The sequence below is a fragment of the Homo sapiens genome, chromosome 14 (assembly GCF_000001405.40).
Source record: "Homo sapiens chromosome 14, GRCh38.p14 Primary Assembly".
Lineage (NCBI taxonomy): Eukaryota > Metazoa > Chordata > Mammalia > Primates > Hominidae > Homo > Homo sapiens.
This window is the reverse complement of record NC_000014.9, coordinates 102,709,693-102,726,150: the sequence shown is the minus strand read 5'-3', so window position 1 is coordinate 102,726,150 and position 16,458 is coordinate 102,709,693. Positions and strand designations below refer to the sequence as shown.

Genomic DNA, 16,458 nt, shown 5'->3' with positions numbered 1-16,458 from the left:
TTCACCATGTTGGCCGGGCTGGTCTCGAACTCCTGACCTCGTGATCTGCCTGCCTCGGCCTCCCAAAGTGCTGGGATTACATGTGTGGGCCCCCACGCCCAGCCCACCATGTTCTTAAGGGCAGGGCAAGCGTGTGGCCTCTCCAGCCAGACGTCTTGGCCTCAAACCCCAATATGTGCAAAGAAGTTATCAGTGTTTTTGAGTTTCAGTTTCTTCATGTGCAGAAGACACATAGTGATAATACCTACTTCACCAGGATTAAATTTAAGTGCCTGAAAACGGCCCGGCACAGTGGCTCACGCCTGTAATCCCAGCACTTTGGGAGGCTGAGGCAGGTGGATCACTTGATGTCAGGAATTCGAGACCAGCCTGGCCAAAAAGGCAAAACCTATCTACTGAAAAGAAATATTGGCCGTGCGTGGTGGCGCACACCTGTAGTCCCAGCTACTTGGGAGGCTGAGGCACGAGAATCAAGAGCTCGGGAGATGGAGGCTGCAGTGAGCTAAGATCGTACCACTGCACTCCACTTGCTCTGGGCAACAGAACAAGACTCCGTCTCAAAAACACAAATGAACAAAAAAACCTGAAAAGGGCATATAAGCACAGTGGCAGCCCTAACTCCTCTCACTGGCTTGAGGGCATGCTGTGGCACCCAGCCCGTTCAGCACCCAGTCACTGGTTCTAGCTGGGATACAGGAGCCCATACGATCCCAGGATCTTCTTTAAAAGCTATGAGGCATTTCCTAACTCCCCTCTCCCATTTTTTAAAAAGGACTCCCAGACCCAAACCTAAAGGCTGCATAGCGTCTTACTGCTCTCTGCCATGCTCATGGCATCTCATTGCTGGAGAAACAACTGGGCCATGCATCCAAAATCGCAAAGTGATTGTTCCTTCAGCTAAAAACCATACCATGTACAAGAACTGTTCTTAGATACAGGAGGAGATTTCTCCTCACTGGTAACAGACTTAATCATTTCATAATTTTAAGTGACATCTTTCTGTCCAATCCATGGCATCCTTTCTTCAGTGTAAGGTTGGATATGACACTGTTCCCAACCCACCCTTGTCCACGTCAAATAACTATGAATTTCAAAAGCTCAAAATGCCTTGGGCTACCTACCTGCCTCTAAGCCCTGAAGGAAATAATCTATAACTGACAGACCATTCTGTTACTAGAACTTCTAGGAATTCTCATGTTCTCCCTGTGGCTTCTGCATAATACATAAAACCTGAGGGCAGAAGGGACAGGCAAGACACCAGCAGACATCTTTCTCAGCTGTTGGACTCTACAGGACAAATAAAAAGGTGAAATTACACACACCCCAAGTTCTGTGGACTCACCAGACAGACAAGTAAGCCAGCATTCTAACAAGTTCCCTTAGGCCCTTGGACACAGAGAAGCAGCTGGTCACTAGATTAATTTCCTTCTGCAAACTAACATATGGAGAACATAAAACTAGGTGGCAGGGCAGGGGTGGCACTACAAGAAGCAGAAAAAGAAAGAAACTCAAGAAATAGGCCGGGCACGGTGGCTCATGCCTGTAATCCCAGCACTTTGGGAGGCAGAGGCGAGCGGATCACTTGAGATCAGCAGTTTTGAAACCAGCCTGGTCAACATGCCGAAACCCCATCTCTACTAAAAATACAAAAATTAGCCAAGCATGGTGGTGCACACCCATAATCCCAGCTACTAGGGAGGCTGAGGGCTGAGGCAGGAGAAGCACTTGAACCTGGGAGATGGAGGTTGCAGTGAGCCGAGATTGAGCCACTGCACTCCAGCCTGGGTGACAGAGGGAGACTCTGTCTCAAAAAAAAAAGAAAAGAAAGGTATGAGGGGGTACATTTTAAATGACTAGCGGAGTGAAAAAGTTTGTAAAGGGATATAAGGACTATGAAACTAAACACGAGTTAGATAATACCATTCTTCATTTTGTTTTGCAGAGAAGGCTGGGTAAATAGAGACATGGAAGATCAATCACCAAGGAAAAACTATGATCTGCTGCTTGGAGGAGCCATAACTAGACTGTGAAAAGAAAGACGGTACTTTGATAATGCAATCCACACGGTAAGTGGATCATTACGGAAGAACCTTCTGGGCTAATAACAAGGTTAAAAAAAAAATACTTGACTCACTTAAGTCAGTCAACCAATGATCCAAGAATAAGAGAATGAAGAAAAAAACATATGCACAACAACTGACATCCTGTTGGTAGGGACTCTTGGTCCTAAATTTACTATGAGATTTGTTATGCCAGCCCAGCCAACACTGGCTTTGATCAAATGCGAAGAGGGAATAGAGCCAGCGTTCCCAACTGTTTCTGCTTCCAGTCATCCTGGGACCGAAGCCGGAAAACACACACACAAGAAGCAAGCTTTCATTCCTGCAAATTCTAATGGTTCTTCCCCAGCAGTCTCCAGCTTTTCAATGCTTCCGAAACTGAGTGCTAACAGGGGCAATTAGTGCTGGTACAAAAATCACTGAAAATAAAAAGAAATAATAATAAAGAAAAAAATCACTGCTGAAAGATAAAAACACCATCATTTAATTCACATGCTCTTTTCAGGCAGAGCTATGCATGGGGGTGATTCAGGGGTACTGACCTTGGCAATATTATAGACGTGGTACACTTATTATAAAGATTTTCTGGCAAAAGGCTCTAAAGAATCTAATTCTAACAAATTTAATATGTTTCAATGGTGTTCTTACAGATGGCTGTGCCTTGAGGTCCTTTCTCCAGTCAGCAAAGAGGCCCTGCATGGAGTGGCGGCACCACGCTCCCAGGGGATGCCAATACCTCACGAGGTACTTCCATGCTCAGGTCAGGAGGGGCCTTCTGGGCTGTTTCCAGAGCCAGGCCCTTGGAGCAAAATGGTAGCACACGCAATACAAAATAGGTAATCTCAAAACATTCCAGTATGGTTTGAAAAGGCTTTGATGTGAAAGTGACTTTCCTTACAAAGCTAAATTAATTCTTAAATTACCATGCCTGTGAACAAATTCAGATGCAAAGTGATTGGCAAGTAACTCTTTCTTATGCCCAGCCCCAGGCTCATCTGCTCTGGGAATAGAGGGACAAATGTAACAGCAAGGCAGGCCAGGCTAGATGGGGAAATGGCAGGTGCCCCTGACACAGGAAGCAGGGAGGTGACAGATGAGACCAGGGTTATCATTCCAGAAATTAGCCACCATCACAGAAGTTCCAGCCAGCCACAGAACTGTCCCCATCAATACTTAAGCCAATCAGCCCCAAAGAGCATCAAAGGCTGAAAGATCTGGACAGCAGGGAGAGGCCTCAGGAGCTCCTGGCTGGCTCGCTGTGCTGCGTCATGATGATGTGACTGCACATTGCAGATGACGGAGCTTCATCGACATCCCTCACAGACAGGACAGCTTTCACTGCATTTTTACTTTTTGTTTATGCCCCCACTCCCCTGTCTTTGTCACTCAAGATTTTACTGTATTTAAGGAAAAACTGATAATGCAGAGTATTTTGTAGCTGGAGGAAATCAGGATGTAATTCAGGATTTGCCCAGAAATTAACATGTGAATAATATACAGGCACCAAGAACTGGAGTCAATGCATACACATTCCGGCTATTTACAGGTAAGAGTGAAGTTACTAATACAGCTGATACCTAAAAATCTCTATAGCTGAAAAAATTCATCACTTTAGAAACTGGAGTATCAAGCGTGAACCTGACAAGAGAAGTGACTGTTTTGTTTCAGATTTACCTCGTCTTCCTCTTCGGGCATCTTAATGGAATTATCTGGGGACTTCACAGGCTTCTGGTTACTGGGCCCATTGGTCTCTTCTTTACCATGTTCTGCCTCCCATTCTTGTAAAACTTCATCTATGTTGAAGCGGCGTCGATAATTTACAAAAAAGTTTTTCACTTGTACCACTGATTTGTTCCCAATCACGTCTGAGATTGCCTGAAAATCTCGGCCATATTTCCTGATGGCTAAGGATGTAAGAAAGCATTTTTTAAAATACAAGAGAAAAACATTTTTTTAAAACCACAAGTGACACTTACCTCTTTATCCAGATAAGAAAACATACAGGCTTTTAACAGCAGGCAATAATTTCGTGTATTATTAGAGTAGGAAAAAGTACCAGCCAATTCTAGACACATTCTGGAGATGACCGACCCTGTCATTTTGATATCTGTCTTCCCATTACATGTCACATAACAGCTGAAGTCACCCAGCAATTGCCCTAGGGTTGGGGACATTCTGCATTCATCTTTTGGTATCGCAGGTCCAGAGCACCCCCAACCTTTAAAGCTGAACACTCTGTCTGCTTCTTTTGGGGTTTTGTACTTCCTGGCTAGTCAGAGCTCGATGAGTAACTAGTAAAATGAAATACACCTTTAGAAGACTCAGGGTTCCCGGTTAAGTTTTTACAACTTGTGAGAAGTGGGAAAGGAAAAGAAAAAAGCCCAAAGGAATACAGTAATTTGGCTAAAATGATATCCACTAGGACATAATTGTCCAAGAATCTAGGTGCTGGGAGTAGGGCAGGACGTAACTTTTCCCTAAAATCTACCAATGCTCCTAAGCTCTTTTTTTTCCATTAAAAAAAAAATTTTTTTTTTTTAAAGTCAGGGTCTCCCTCTGTTGTCCAGGCTGGAATGCAGTGGTGTGATCATGGATCAATGCAGCCTTGAGCTCCTGGGCTCAAGCAAATGCGTCAACCTTCCAAAATGTTGGGATTACAGGTGTGAGCCACCACAGCCGGCCTCCTAAACTCTTTAGAAGAACTTCCCCCTACCTTGTACGGCGAGAAGCTGCTCTTCTGTAGTCCAACGTGCATTACATTTCTGAATGACCTGGATATCCAAATGAGTCATTTTAGCACATTACATTTAGAGATGAGTATGTCCTTATGAGCTTAACGAACCTTTCATTTTCTCTTATCGGAATTTTAACATCAACTGGGTTCATAAAATTATGTCCATATACTCTTCCAAGAGATGTATACTGGGGATGTATCACACCGATATTAAATTCTTAAACATGTAAAACTTGAATATGACTTCTAAGATGATGTTAACATAATCCTACCTCTGGAAGTCGATATGGTTCTATTCCACCATCAAGTTTTTCTTTGAGAGCACTGTTTGTCTGTTTAATATTCTGGATCTAGGAAGGAAAAAATAATTTTCATTTTAAAAATAAAAACTATATAAAGGTATGAAAACAGAACTTAAAAACCTAAAGAAACAAAAACCCAAGAGTAAAGACGTTACTAACATCTGTTGTAGCTGAATTCTGAGATCCCTATGGTATCCTTTGAAGCATCTAACTAGGTTTATTATTTGCTTGTTCAGAGCAACAGATAAGGTACAACCCAAGGAGGAGGGGACGGAGGGCTCTCACGTACACAGTCCTGGATCCACAGCTTCCTAACAGGTGATACCTGAGCAGCAAAACACCTACCTGGAGTCTTACATAAAAGACAGAAGAAATCCCTGGGCTTACTACCACATAGGATTGAACTGAAGTAACAGAGCAGCCACAGTAAGGACCAAAAAGGCCCAGTCTTTACAACAGAACTGCGGGTGCAGCCTCACAGCGCCCCAAGATCACTGTGCTGTCCACCGCTTCTACACAGGGCAGAAGTGCACAAGCATAGATTTCTTTAATGATGGGGGGGCGAGGAAAACACAATGTCAGTGAGATTTCCAGAAGTCTAACTTTGATTAACTGTCACGTCTTCACTTTCCTACAAATTATCTTTTTCCACATTACTGCCTTGGCTCAAGGTAATCTTTCACTGTCCTTACCCAGTCGAAAGAAAGACCACAAACAATACCAACCTCCCAGGCTATGGCTGCTCCTTAATTTTCCCATGGACCCTTGAATGAGACAGGTCACGGAAGTATGCTATTTTCTCTCTACTCCAAGTAGAGGGCATATCCGTGTCAAGCACCAGGGAACTCTGAACTCCAGCATTTTTCATCTTTGAATAATCACACAAGCAACTAAGAAAGCCAACGGAAGAGGAGCTTGATTTTCTCAAGTAAAATGTAAAAGACATTCATGAGTAGAAGATGCTACCCGAAAATTTTTAAATTTTTTTCACTTGTAATTAATCTAAATTTAAACAACCACACATGGGGCTGCTGGCTGCCATGCTAGACATTACAATCTCTTAGGATCTTGCTCAGTGGTCTTTCAGTTACCGAAAACCCAGGAAAATTGCAAAGTACTCAGATTATGTTCACTGGATTCCTTTTTGGCTAAAAATGCAACATAGCAACTTTTGGCAGGAAAAAGTCAAGGTTTAGAATATTACATGTCCTCTTCGCATTCCAGTGAAACAGACCACTCTTGTCACTCTAGCTGGTTGTTCATAGATAGTACAAAACTGGGTATATATTGCACTGTGATTAAGTAACGTTATAAAAGAAGCAGAGAGAGTAAATGCAAAACATCTAAAATTCTGAACTAAAAGCTAGCTCTAAATGCTCAGTAGCCTATACCCCTCTTCCTGATGCATTTTCCGTATCAGAAATATCTAGGCTGCATATATACCATGGAATACTATGCAGCCATAAAAAAGGATGAGTTTATGTCCTTTGTAAGGACATGGATGAAGCTGGAAACCATCATTCTGAGCAAACTATCGCAAGGACAGAAAACCAAACACCGCATGTTCTCACTCATAGGTGGGAATTGAACAATGAGAACACTTGGACACAGGATGGGGAAACATCACACACCGGGGCCTGTCGTGGGGTTGGGGGAGTGGGGAGGGATAGCATTAGGAGATATACCTAATGTAAATGACGAAGTGGGTGCAGCACACCAACATGGCACATGCATACATATGTAATAAACCTGCACGTTGTGCACATGTACCCTAGAACTTAAAGTATAATTTTAAAAAAAGAAGAAGAAGAAGAAGAAATATCTAGGCTGTGTAGTCCCAACTACTTGCGAGGCTGAGGTGGGAGGATAGCTTGAGTCTGGGAGGCAGGGGTTGCAGTGAGCCGAGATCGCACCACTGCACTTCAGCCTGGGTGACAGTGCCAGACCCTGCCAAAAAAAAATTATGCTAGTGCAGTGGCTCACACCTGTAATCACAGCCCTTTGGGAGGCCAAGGCAGGAAGGATCATTTGAGCCCAGGAGTTCAAGAACAGCCTGGGTGACACAGCAAGACCCTGTCTCTACCAAAAAAATTTTAAAATTAGCCAGGTGTGGTGGTGCTCACCTGCAGTCCTACCTACTTAGGGGGCTGAGGTGGGCAACTGCTTGAGCCCAGGCCTTTGAGGCTACTGTGATCCATGACTGTATCACTACAGTCCCAGGATGGACAACAGAGCAAGATCCTGTCTCCAAAAAACAAAATACGCCCCCTTCCCCCCGCCAAACATCTAGTGTTTATTAAGCAGGAAAAAAACAGAGATTACTGCCACCATCATGCTAACTGGAAAGTGAGTGGCAATGAAATAGGTAAGAAATAGGATGCAAAGGTAATCACACTTAAAGAAAAAACAAGATGAAAAAGAAAAGCCATCCACTTGTCCTGACGCCCTACCTAGACACCACCCTCCCACCCAACCCTCAGTCATACAGAACTTTCTGTTTTCTACTTTACTGTGGGCACAGTGATTCCTCTTTTAACATCAGATCACTTTATTCTCCACTCAGAGAAAGACCTGATGCAACCAGCACTGTTCACTGGCTAATTTAAGAGACATGCCCAGCCCCCTTCTCGCTGGTAGAGGTTGATGATGTCTTGGGAAGGAGGAAGAGCAGTACGCAACGCACGGGCACACAGAATTCAGCTAAGGAGCTTCCGGTAAGGCTTTTGCTTGTCCTGCTAAAAGGGACAGACAGGTTACCTCCACCCCCACCTCCTCTTCATACTGCCCTGAATGCAGATGTGAGGGTTGCAAAATGGCTCCAGTAGCTTCCAACATGAGGCAACAAGCAAGATGAAAAGCCAACAGCTGAGAATGGCACAGTAGAAGACCTGAAAAGTACCTGGGTCCCTGAGAGCATGACTGAACACATGAACTAACACCAGTAGCCACTGATGTTGGCACTTCTTGCCATTTGAGAAAAATAAACCCTAAATTGTTTAAGCTGTTGTTAGTCGAGTTTGCTGTTATTTTCAGAATATATCCTTGATATACCAAACATGGCGGCCTCCAGAACAAGTGGCCCAAGTGGACTGACTGCCCATTTTGAGTCTAGAAGCACATTTGGCAATGAACACACTGCTGCACTGTGGCGCTAAAAGGCTGTGGAAAGGAAATCACCCACCTCCTCTCTGAGTGAGGCTGAGTCCTCCCTCTTCATAATTGTGAGCGACCTTCAAATTTTAAAAATTCTTGCTCTTGACCCTGCTCTGAAAACTAAAGAATCTTTTCTCTCTCACCCTATGGAGTCAATAACACCTCGGTGCAAGAGGAAGGCCTCTTTTTCTTTTCTCAATATATTAAACAGCAACCACCAGGAGCTCACTCAGCAGAGGGAGAAAGGAGCATCCTTGTAAAGGAAGATGACAATGTCAACAAGAGCTCACAGCCCGAGACAGTTCTTCCAGTGCAAACAGAACTTCAAATGCTCTCTCACACAGTAGCCCAGACATATTCTGTGAGATCAGGCAGGCCAGGATTAATCTCATTTGAAAAGAGGCCTAGAAAGATTAAGTGATTCTCCTAAGATTAGAGTGCAGCTGTGCCAGCAGCCACAAGAAGAAGCCGCTCCTCTGAGCACACAGAGTGTGCTTGGGTCCTGGTCTGGGCTGCCTCCCTAAACCACAAGAAAGACAGCAGCACGCCCTGCTCTTCGCGTCTATGAGATGACAGTTGGTCTACTGTTTGACCTTCCAAGGGAACCATCAAGATAAATCAAAAGCAGCAAAAACCAAAAATAGTCAGTCAACAACTTGCTGATGGATTTCTGGAAACTGAATTCCAGAGAGAGAATGAAAGGACAGGACCCAACTACTAGGTTGAATTTTCAGTTTAAATGTACTATGCAATCAGATTAAAATAATAAGCTACATAGCAGGCAAAAATAATTATAAAAAGTAATTTAAAAAACAATATCCTTTACAAGAGCACCAAAAAAGTACCAAATATCATGGAATGACTAACAAAAGATGCGTTAAGTTCTTACACAGAAAACAATACAACATTGAGAGAAATTACAAACCTATAGAAGTAGAGGGGTATATCAGGTTCACTGATCAGAAAACTCAATAAAGATGTTAATTCTCCATTTTTATCTATAGATGCAATACAATCCCAATCAAAACTCTAATAGAATTATTTTTCTGAAAATTGATAAAGTAATTCTAAATTTTATATGGAAAGTAAAAGGCCAGGGATAACCAAGACAATCTTGGAGAACTTATATTACACCAGATAACTAAATTAATAAAGTACATAAAGTTAGGACAGTATGTATTGGTGAAGGATGGACAAAGAGATTAAAGGAACAGAGAACCTCAAACCAGACCCATATGCATACAGACACTGGATGTAAAACAAAGGTCCTGCTGCGTTGCAAAGGATAAAGGACAGTTTCTTCAATAAATACTTGACCAAATTGATACTCATATGAAAACAAAACAGTGACTATTAATCCGACATGTAACAACAAATACAGAAAAACATTTCTAGATCAAAATGTAAAAGGTAAAACAACACTTCTAAGACTAACATGAGAGAATATCGTCATGACCTTGAGAAAGGTGAACAGAACTCAAAAACACTAACCTCAGAAGACTAAGAAACTAAACTACCTTAAAATGAAGAATTACTGTTCATCAAAAGATACCATTGAGAGTCACAGAATGCAAAACATATTTACAGCATTTAAAATACAAGTTGTAGAAAACAACTCAGAGCCTAAAGAACACCTATAAACCAATAAGAAAATACGCAACCTGACAGAAAAAAAACAGATGAGACTTGAGTAGACATGTCACAAAAGAGGATATCCAAATGACCAACAAATGGATGAAAAGGTGAGCAACCTCATTAGTCATCAGGGAACTGCCAAATAAAAAGTACAATGAGGCATCATTATAACCCATCAGAAGGGCTAAAATTTAAGACTACCAAAATATGGCAATGATGTAGAGCAGTGGTTCTCAAATGGGGACAATTTTGCCCCTGTGAGGTAATCTGGTGATGCCTAGGGATATTTCTGTTGTCACAACTGGTAGGGGAGGGTGCTACTAGCATCTACTGGGTCAAGACCAGGGATGCTGCTCAACATCTTACAGTGCACAGAACGGCCCATCATGAGGATAGTGCTACAGCTGGGAAACGCTGATGTGCAAACAAAACGCACATAAAATGACAGGACCACTTTGAAAAACTGTTTAGCTCTCAGGTTGAAAGAAAGCCAGACATAAAATAAACAGTACCACATGACTTTCATTTATATAAAATTCAAAAATGGACAAAAACAACTTATGGTTTTAAAAATCAGAACAGGGCCGAGTGTGGTAGCTCACACCTGTAATCTCAGTACACTTTGGGAGGCTGAGGCGGGCAGATCACTTGAGCTCAGGAGTTCAAGACCAGCCTGGGGAATATGGCAAAACCCCGTCTCTACCAAAAACACAAAAAATTAGCCAGGTGTGATGACAAGCGCCTGTACTCCCAACTACTTGGGAGGCTGAGATGGGAGGATCATTTGAGCCCCGGAAGCAAAGGTTACAGTGAGCCAAGATCGCACCGCTGCACTCCAGCCTGGGCAACAGGACAAGACACTGTCTCAAAAACAAAATAAAATTAAAAAAAATCAGGGCCGGGCGCGGTGGCTCACGCCTGTAATTCCAGCACTTTGGGAGGCCGAGGCGGGTGGATCATGAGATCAGGAGATCGAGACCATCCTGGCTAACATGGTAAAACCCCGTCTCTACTAAACATACAAAAAACAATTAGCTGGGCGTGGTGGTGGGTGCCTGTAGTCCCAGCTACTCGGGAGGCTGAGGCAGGAAAATGGCATGAACTGGGGAGGCAGAGCTTGCAGTGAGCCGGGATCGCGCCACTGCACTCCAGCCTGGGCGACAGAGCGAGACACCGTCTCAAAAAAAAAAAAAATCAGAATAGTGGCCACCTACAAGGAGGAGTCAGGTAATAAAAGAGGGGTGGAGTTGCTGAGGGAATGCAACATTCCATGGAATAGTGACCAGGAGGGAAAATGCATGGGCCTGGGGGCAACATTCCATTTTTTGATCCAGATGCAGGTTACTAGGGTATGTTCATATTGTGAGAAATCATGGAGACACAGACACATATATAATATAAATATGATATTCATATGCTTTGCTATATACTTCAGAAATACTTTCAGATCACACTATATCCATACACTTCAATTTATATGTTCATTAAAAAGAAAAACAATGGGCTGGTACTTAAGATCTGTCCAATTCCTTCGAAACAAAATGCTCCTTTGAGATTTGCGGAAAGAGAACATTCACATATATGAATAACAGAAACACCTCTAAAGTGCTAATTAATTCTTTTACATCCAAGACCAGGCTTATGAGTACCTGTCGTTTGACTGAAACCAATTCCATGTCTAGTTGTCTCAGCACCGTGGTAGCAGCAGTGGCATTGGCAGAAACAGCCTCCACATCTTCTTGAGAAAGAAACATTCCTTTTGGAGGTTTCCTTTTTGCTCTATTTTTAGCTTGTGTGCTATGTTTTTCTTTTTTGACCTGAGGAACTGTCTCAGTAGGGGGAACCTGCATGATATACACAGGTGATGAATGAAACTTAAAAAAAGTCAAATGATCAGTAATAAACATATTTATTTCCTTAACATGGCACCAAAACAATCTAAGACAAATACCATGCCCTATCAGAACCAAATGAGATCTATAAATTCTAACAGGCAGTTCACAGACAGAATTTGGGCTACTGAGTTTTGACTAAACACAATGAAACTGTGTTCCACTCCTTCTTGTACAAATACTTCCTTACTCTATCGTTTCAAGCCAATGAAAATAAGAATTCTCAGCTTCCTCTAGTAATATAGAAAGAAAAAAATCTGTATTCTCTGCTAATGAGTTTTGTGGCCACACACACATCTGTATTTAGCTACATGAAATTACAGCTTTTTATACACATTTTTGGATAACACAATTTTTACGGCAACTTATATAACTTACTCTAAAATAATATACCTTATCATTTTAAAATGCATGACGGCTATTAATTTCTGTAAAACCAAAACTTTCAGAAATGAAACACAGTAAAATCTTGTCAAGTTAAAGAATATAACTTACTGGTAACCATTTTAAGAACAAGAAGTTTTTATAATTGCTCATAATTCCATCTTGTTAGTGCATTAGCATTCACTGATAAAGCTGAAAATATGACTTTCTGCTTCATATTTTAAAAGACTGAGCTAAAGACACTGCAAAACTATAATGGTAGTGATAATTTCTTCAACAAGTGGGTAATACAAAAATATTAGTAGGCAATAAACTGCTGTGTATGGGACTACGATGTTTAATAAAGATCACCAACTGACTACGTCTGTTCTAGTATCATTTTAATACTTAAAAAAACTACGGGCCAGGTGGCTGGGCATGGTGGCTCATGCCTGTAATCCCAGCACTTTGGGAGGCTGAGGCGGGCGGATCACGAAGTCAGGAGATTGAGACCACCCTGGCTAACACAGTGAAACCCCATCTCTACTAAAACTACAAAAAATTAGCCAGGTGCGGTGGCGGGCGCCTGTAGCCCCAGCTACTTGGGAGGCTGAAGCAGGAGAATGGCGGGAGGCTGAGGCAGGAGAATGGCATGAACCTGGGAGGCGCAGCTTGCAGTGAGCCGAGATTGCACCACTGCACTCCAGCCTGGGCGACACAGTGAGGCTCCGTCTCAAAAAAAAAAAAAAGAAACTACGGGCCAGGTGTGGTGGCTCACGGCTGTAATCTCAGCACTTTAGGAGGCCGAGGTGGGTGGATCACTTGAGGTCAGGAGTTCAAAACCAGCCTGGCCAAGATGGTGAAACTCCGTCTCTAGTAAAAATACAAAAATTAGCCAGGCATGGTTGCGGGCCCCTGTAATCCCAGCTACTTGGGAGGCTGAAGCAGAGAACTGCTTGAACCTGGGAGGCAGAGGCTGCAGTGAGCTGAGATCGGACCACTGCACTCCAGCCTGGGCAACAGAGCAAGACTCCATCTCCAAAAAAAAAAAAAAAAAAAAAAAACAATGATTTAGCCATTTTCTTTCTGAATCAGAAATTATATAAATAAGAATTATAAAAATGTATGAAATCAAGTGTTTTCTCTCATTTAAAATGTGCCACTGAAAAACCTAGTAAATAGCAATACATCAACACAAAGCTTAATAAAAACTACAACTACAATTTGATTTCCCAAACAATCTAATTTAGCTAACCCTCAGGATCTTATTTGGGCATTCATATAAATTATGCAGAAAAAAACGACCAATTTCCAATTTGGTGATATACAACCAAAAAAAAAAAAAAAAGCCTTAACAATGTATCTAGAACACGTTGACTCAACAATACAACTTCCAGGAATCGGTTCTAATGAAAAAAATCTATGAGCACAGATAGTGAGTTATGTGAGAATCAATCCAGCATTGTTTATAAAAGCAAAAAACAGGAGGAATAAACAACTGGGAAATCCACATAGGATAAGGTAACTCAATTATGAAACATTCATGTGACAGAATAATATATAGCTACGTATACAAATATATTTGACATAAAAAAAAATTCAAGGTCCAGCCTGGCCAACATGATGAAACCCCATCTCTACTAAAAATACAAAAAAAAAAACCTAGCAGGGCGTGGTGGCATGTGCCTATAATCCCAGCTACTCGGTAGGCTGAGGCAGGAGAATCACTTGAATCTGGGAGGCAGAGGTTGCAGTGAGCCAAGGTCATACTACTGCACTCCAGCCTGGGCAACAGAGTGAGAGACTGTCTCAAAAACAAAATAAAAAAAAATAAAATCAAGGGCTGGAGGTGGCTCATGCCTGTTATCCCAGCACTTTGCAAGGCCATAGTGGAAGGACTGCTTGAGCCCAGGAGTTGGCGGCTGCAGTGAGTCATGGTGCCACTGCATTCCAACCTGGGTGACACAGGAGACCCTGTCTCAAAAAAGAAAAAAGAGAAAAAAAAAATCAAGGTAGAGTAAATTTAAAAGGTTCTAAAAATTACAAAGCTTCCATTATATTATTTTTAAAAAGTGACTAGATTCAGAATTATGAATATACAGGCATATACATTTTACAGAAAGAGTTCTCAGGAAAAAGTCACCAAAAGGTTGACAGTGATTATGGATAATATTATAAATCACTTTAATTTTCTTCTTTCAGTTAGCTGTATTTCCTACCTTGTCTATAAGAAACATATATTACTGATGTCATTTTAAAGTTTAGATAAATTTAGACCCTTCTGTTTTTATAGGCTTAAAATAATAACTATTCTTATAATTTGGAGCAGAGAGAGAGAACTCTCTGAGAAATTTTTTTGAAACTATAGACTGTGTCTTTGGAAAAATACCTCTATGAACCTATGTAAAAGTTACATGCAATTGTAGAGGTTCACGAGCCCCCTGAATCCAGAAACTACAATCTCTTGTATAATGATTTTTTAAAATGATAAGATGAAACAGTCACCATGTGAGAGAGGATGGTCCTGGCTCCCCCTGGTGTGACCAAATTGCTGCTTCTGAGTAACAGGAGGGCTGTGCCGAGTCCCTGCCAGCTCCCTGCAGTCACCCCAGGCACGGCATGGGTGCCTAGGATGGGCAGACGCTGGGGCATCTATAGCGTGAATGGAGACCCTAAGGCTGCCTGGAATTCACTAGACCACTTGTTAACCTACTGAGCTAATGGCTTACGAAGAAAGTCAGTGAGGACTGCTGTTCTAGGGAACATCATTACTCATTAGTGCTATTTTCTATCCTTTAAGCCTTCCTTTATTCATATCTATTAGCAAACAAAATTATACAATCTATAAAGCAAAGACAGTATTGTTGAAAAATAGTCATATCATGCTGCTTTCCACATAGCACTTAATATATTAAGTAGAACAAGCAACATGAATGTTTTATTTATGAAACTAGTAATAAAATTTATTCGCCTAAACAATACTAGGGGGAAAAAATACCTCCTTTTTGCTTTCCTTGTTTTGATCAACCTCAATGTCAATGGGATTGTTTCCATTTGCCTCTTCCAGTTCATCCTCGCTGGAAGACAAGAACAAGTTACTGAATGATTATTTTGTACTAATTTTCCGAATACAAACGATAAATTGATTTAACTGAAAATTTTGTACTAATTTTACCAAATATAAATAATAAACTGATTTAATATAAAATTAGTATGTTTTCAGGCTGCTGAGATAAAAACATCTTTGTAATTCAAACAGAATACCAACTCCATAGTTCTTTCAGTCTAAGTGATGAGAAACTACTAAAATAGATTCCTAACTTCCCAATCCAGATCTAAAACACTATTGCTCTATATCTGTAAACTGAAAATATCAAAATGAAAATGCATTTACATGTTATTTTCTCATAATTATCTATTGAGGACTAGGATATGATTACTAAACAAAACTGAGAAATTATGGGAGAATAAATTTCCACTGCATTGGGAATAAACCTGCTAACAGTAAAAAAATCCTTTTCCAAGTACCGTCTTTCTACCCAAGGCCACACAAAGTCTGAGGCTTTTCTGGTGTCCTGGACAACTGATGTTTTAAAATTATGTTTAATTTTAAAAAGAAAACTTACATTGGTATAGCACTTTAAATGCTTTTTGTAATATCCTGAATGTAGTATTTCATTTAATTTAAAACAAAGAAACAAGAAAAGCCCCGATGTAGGTAGGAATGCAACTGTAAAAAAAGAAAACTAAGTCTACAGAAGTCAAGTAGCCTGCCCCAGTTTGCCCACCTCGCACTGCCTCTGGAATCCATCCCACGGGACCATGCCCACTACGCGCCACCTCCTCCCCATCCTCCACCAAGGTAGCAGGAAGCTCTAGCTGAGGAAAGAGTGTCCACAACAAGAAAGAGCCTTCGGCTAAGGGAATTTTGTCCCAGTCCCTGCCATGACTTTCACAGGCAAGTCCTGTTAGAAAGCCAACAATTTATCAGGTGCTGCTGCAGCACCTCCATCCCCGCATCCCAAAAGTGGTTGAGGTGCACATGGGAGGTGGAGGCAAAGCACTTCCTGGCCCCATCGGGACTAATGCAAAAAAAAAGCCTCCAGGGAGTAAGAATGGAAGTGTTGGCAGGTATTCTTATTTCACACTCAAGGATATCCAATCCCACTCTGTATTATTTAATTTTGATTGCTGCTTAGTAAACTGCATCTGCTTATAGTAACAGACTTACTATATAGACAGTAAACTAGGGAAATGAAAAAGCTTCATTAAAAGTTAATAAGAGTACTCATCCATAAATAAACCTACTAGTATATAAG

At 41.5% G+C, this 16,458-nt stretch overlaps 1 protein-coding gene across 2 annotated transcripts in view, besides 1 other annotated feature; it reads right to left on the bottom strand.

Moving 5' to 3' along the window:
* Positions 1-16,458, bottom strand: part of RCOR1 (REST corepressor 1) — a 137,913-nt gene that overhangs the window by 4,411 nt on the left and 117,044 nt on the right. The window contains exons 7-11 of one of the 2 annotated variants that reach the window (NM_015156.4): positions 15,138-15,216; positions 11,534-11,728; positions 5,067-5,144; positions 4,774-4,831; positions 3,735-3,964 (exon numbers count right to left, since the gene is read on the bottom strand). In NM_015156.4, the coding sequence (NP_055971.2) occupies positions 3,735-3,964; positions 4,774-4,831; positions 5,067-5,144; positions 11,534-11,728; positions 15,138-15,216 (640 nt within the window). Of the gene's footprint in view, positions 1-3,734; positions 3,965-4,773; positions 4,832-5,066; positions 5,145-11,533; positions 11,729-15,137; positions 15,217-16,458 lie in introns of those variants that run through there. The other variant, XM_047431148.1, reaches the window with a different exon arrangement.
* Positions 2,878-4,077: an enhancer, noted in NCBI's record as "MED14-independent group 3 enhancer chr14:103188411-103189610 (GRCh37/hg19 assembly coordinates)". NCBI's record gives its function as "activates an origin of replication core promoter dependent on BRD2, BRD4, P300/CBP and CDK7 cofactors, and independent of MED14, by STARR-seq in HCT116 cells {active_cell/tissue: HCT116}" and the evidence as "EXISTENCE:reporter gene assay evidence [ECO:0000049][PMID:35650434]".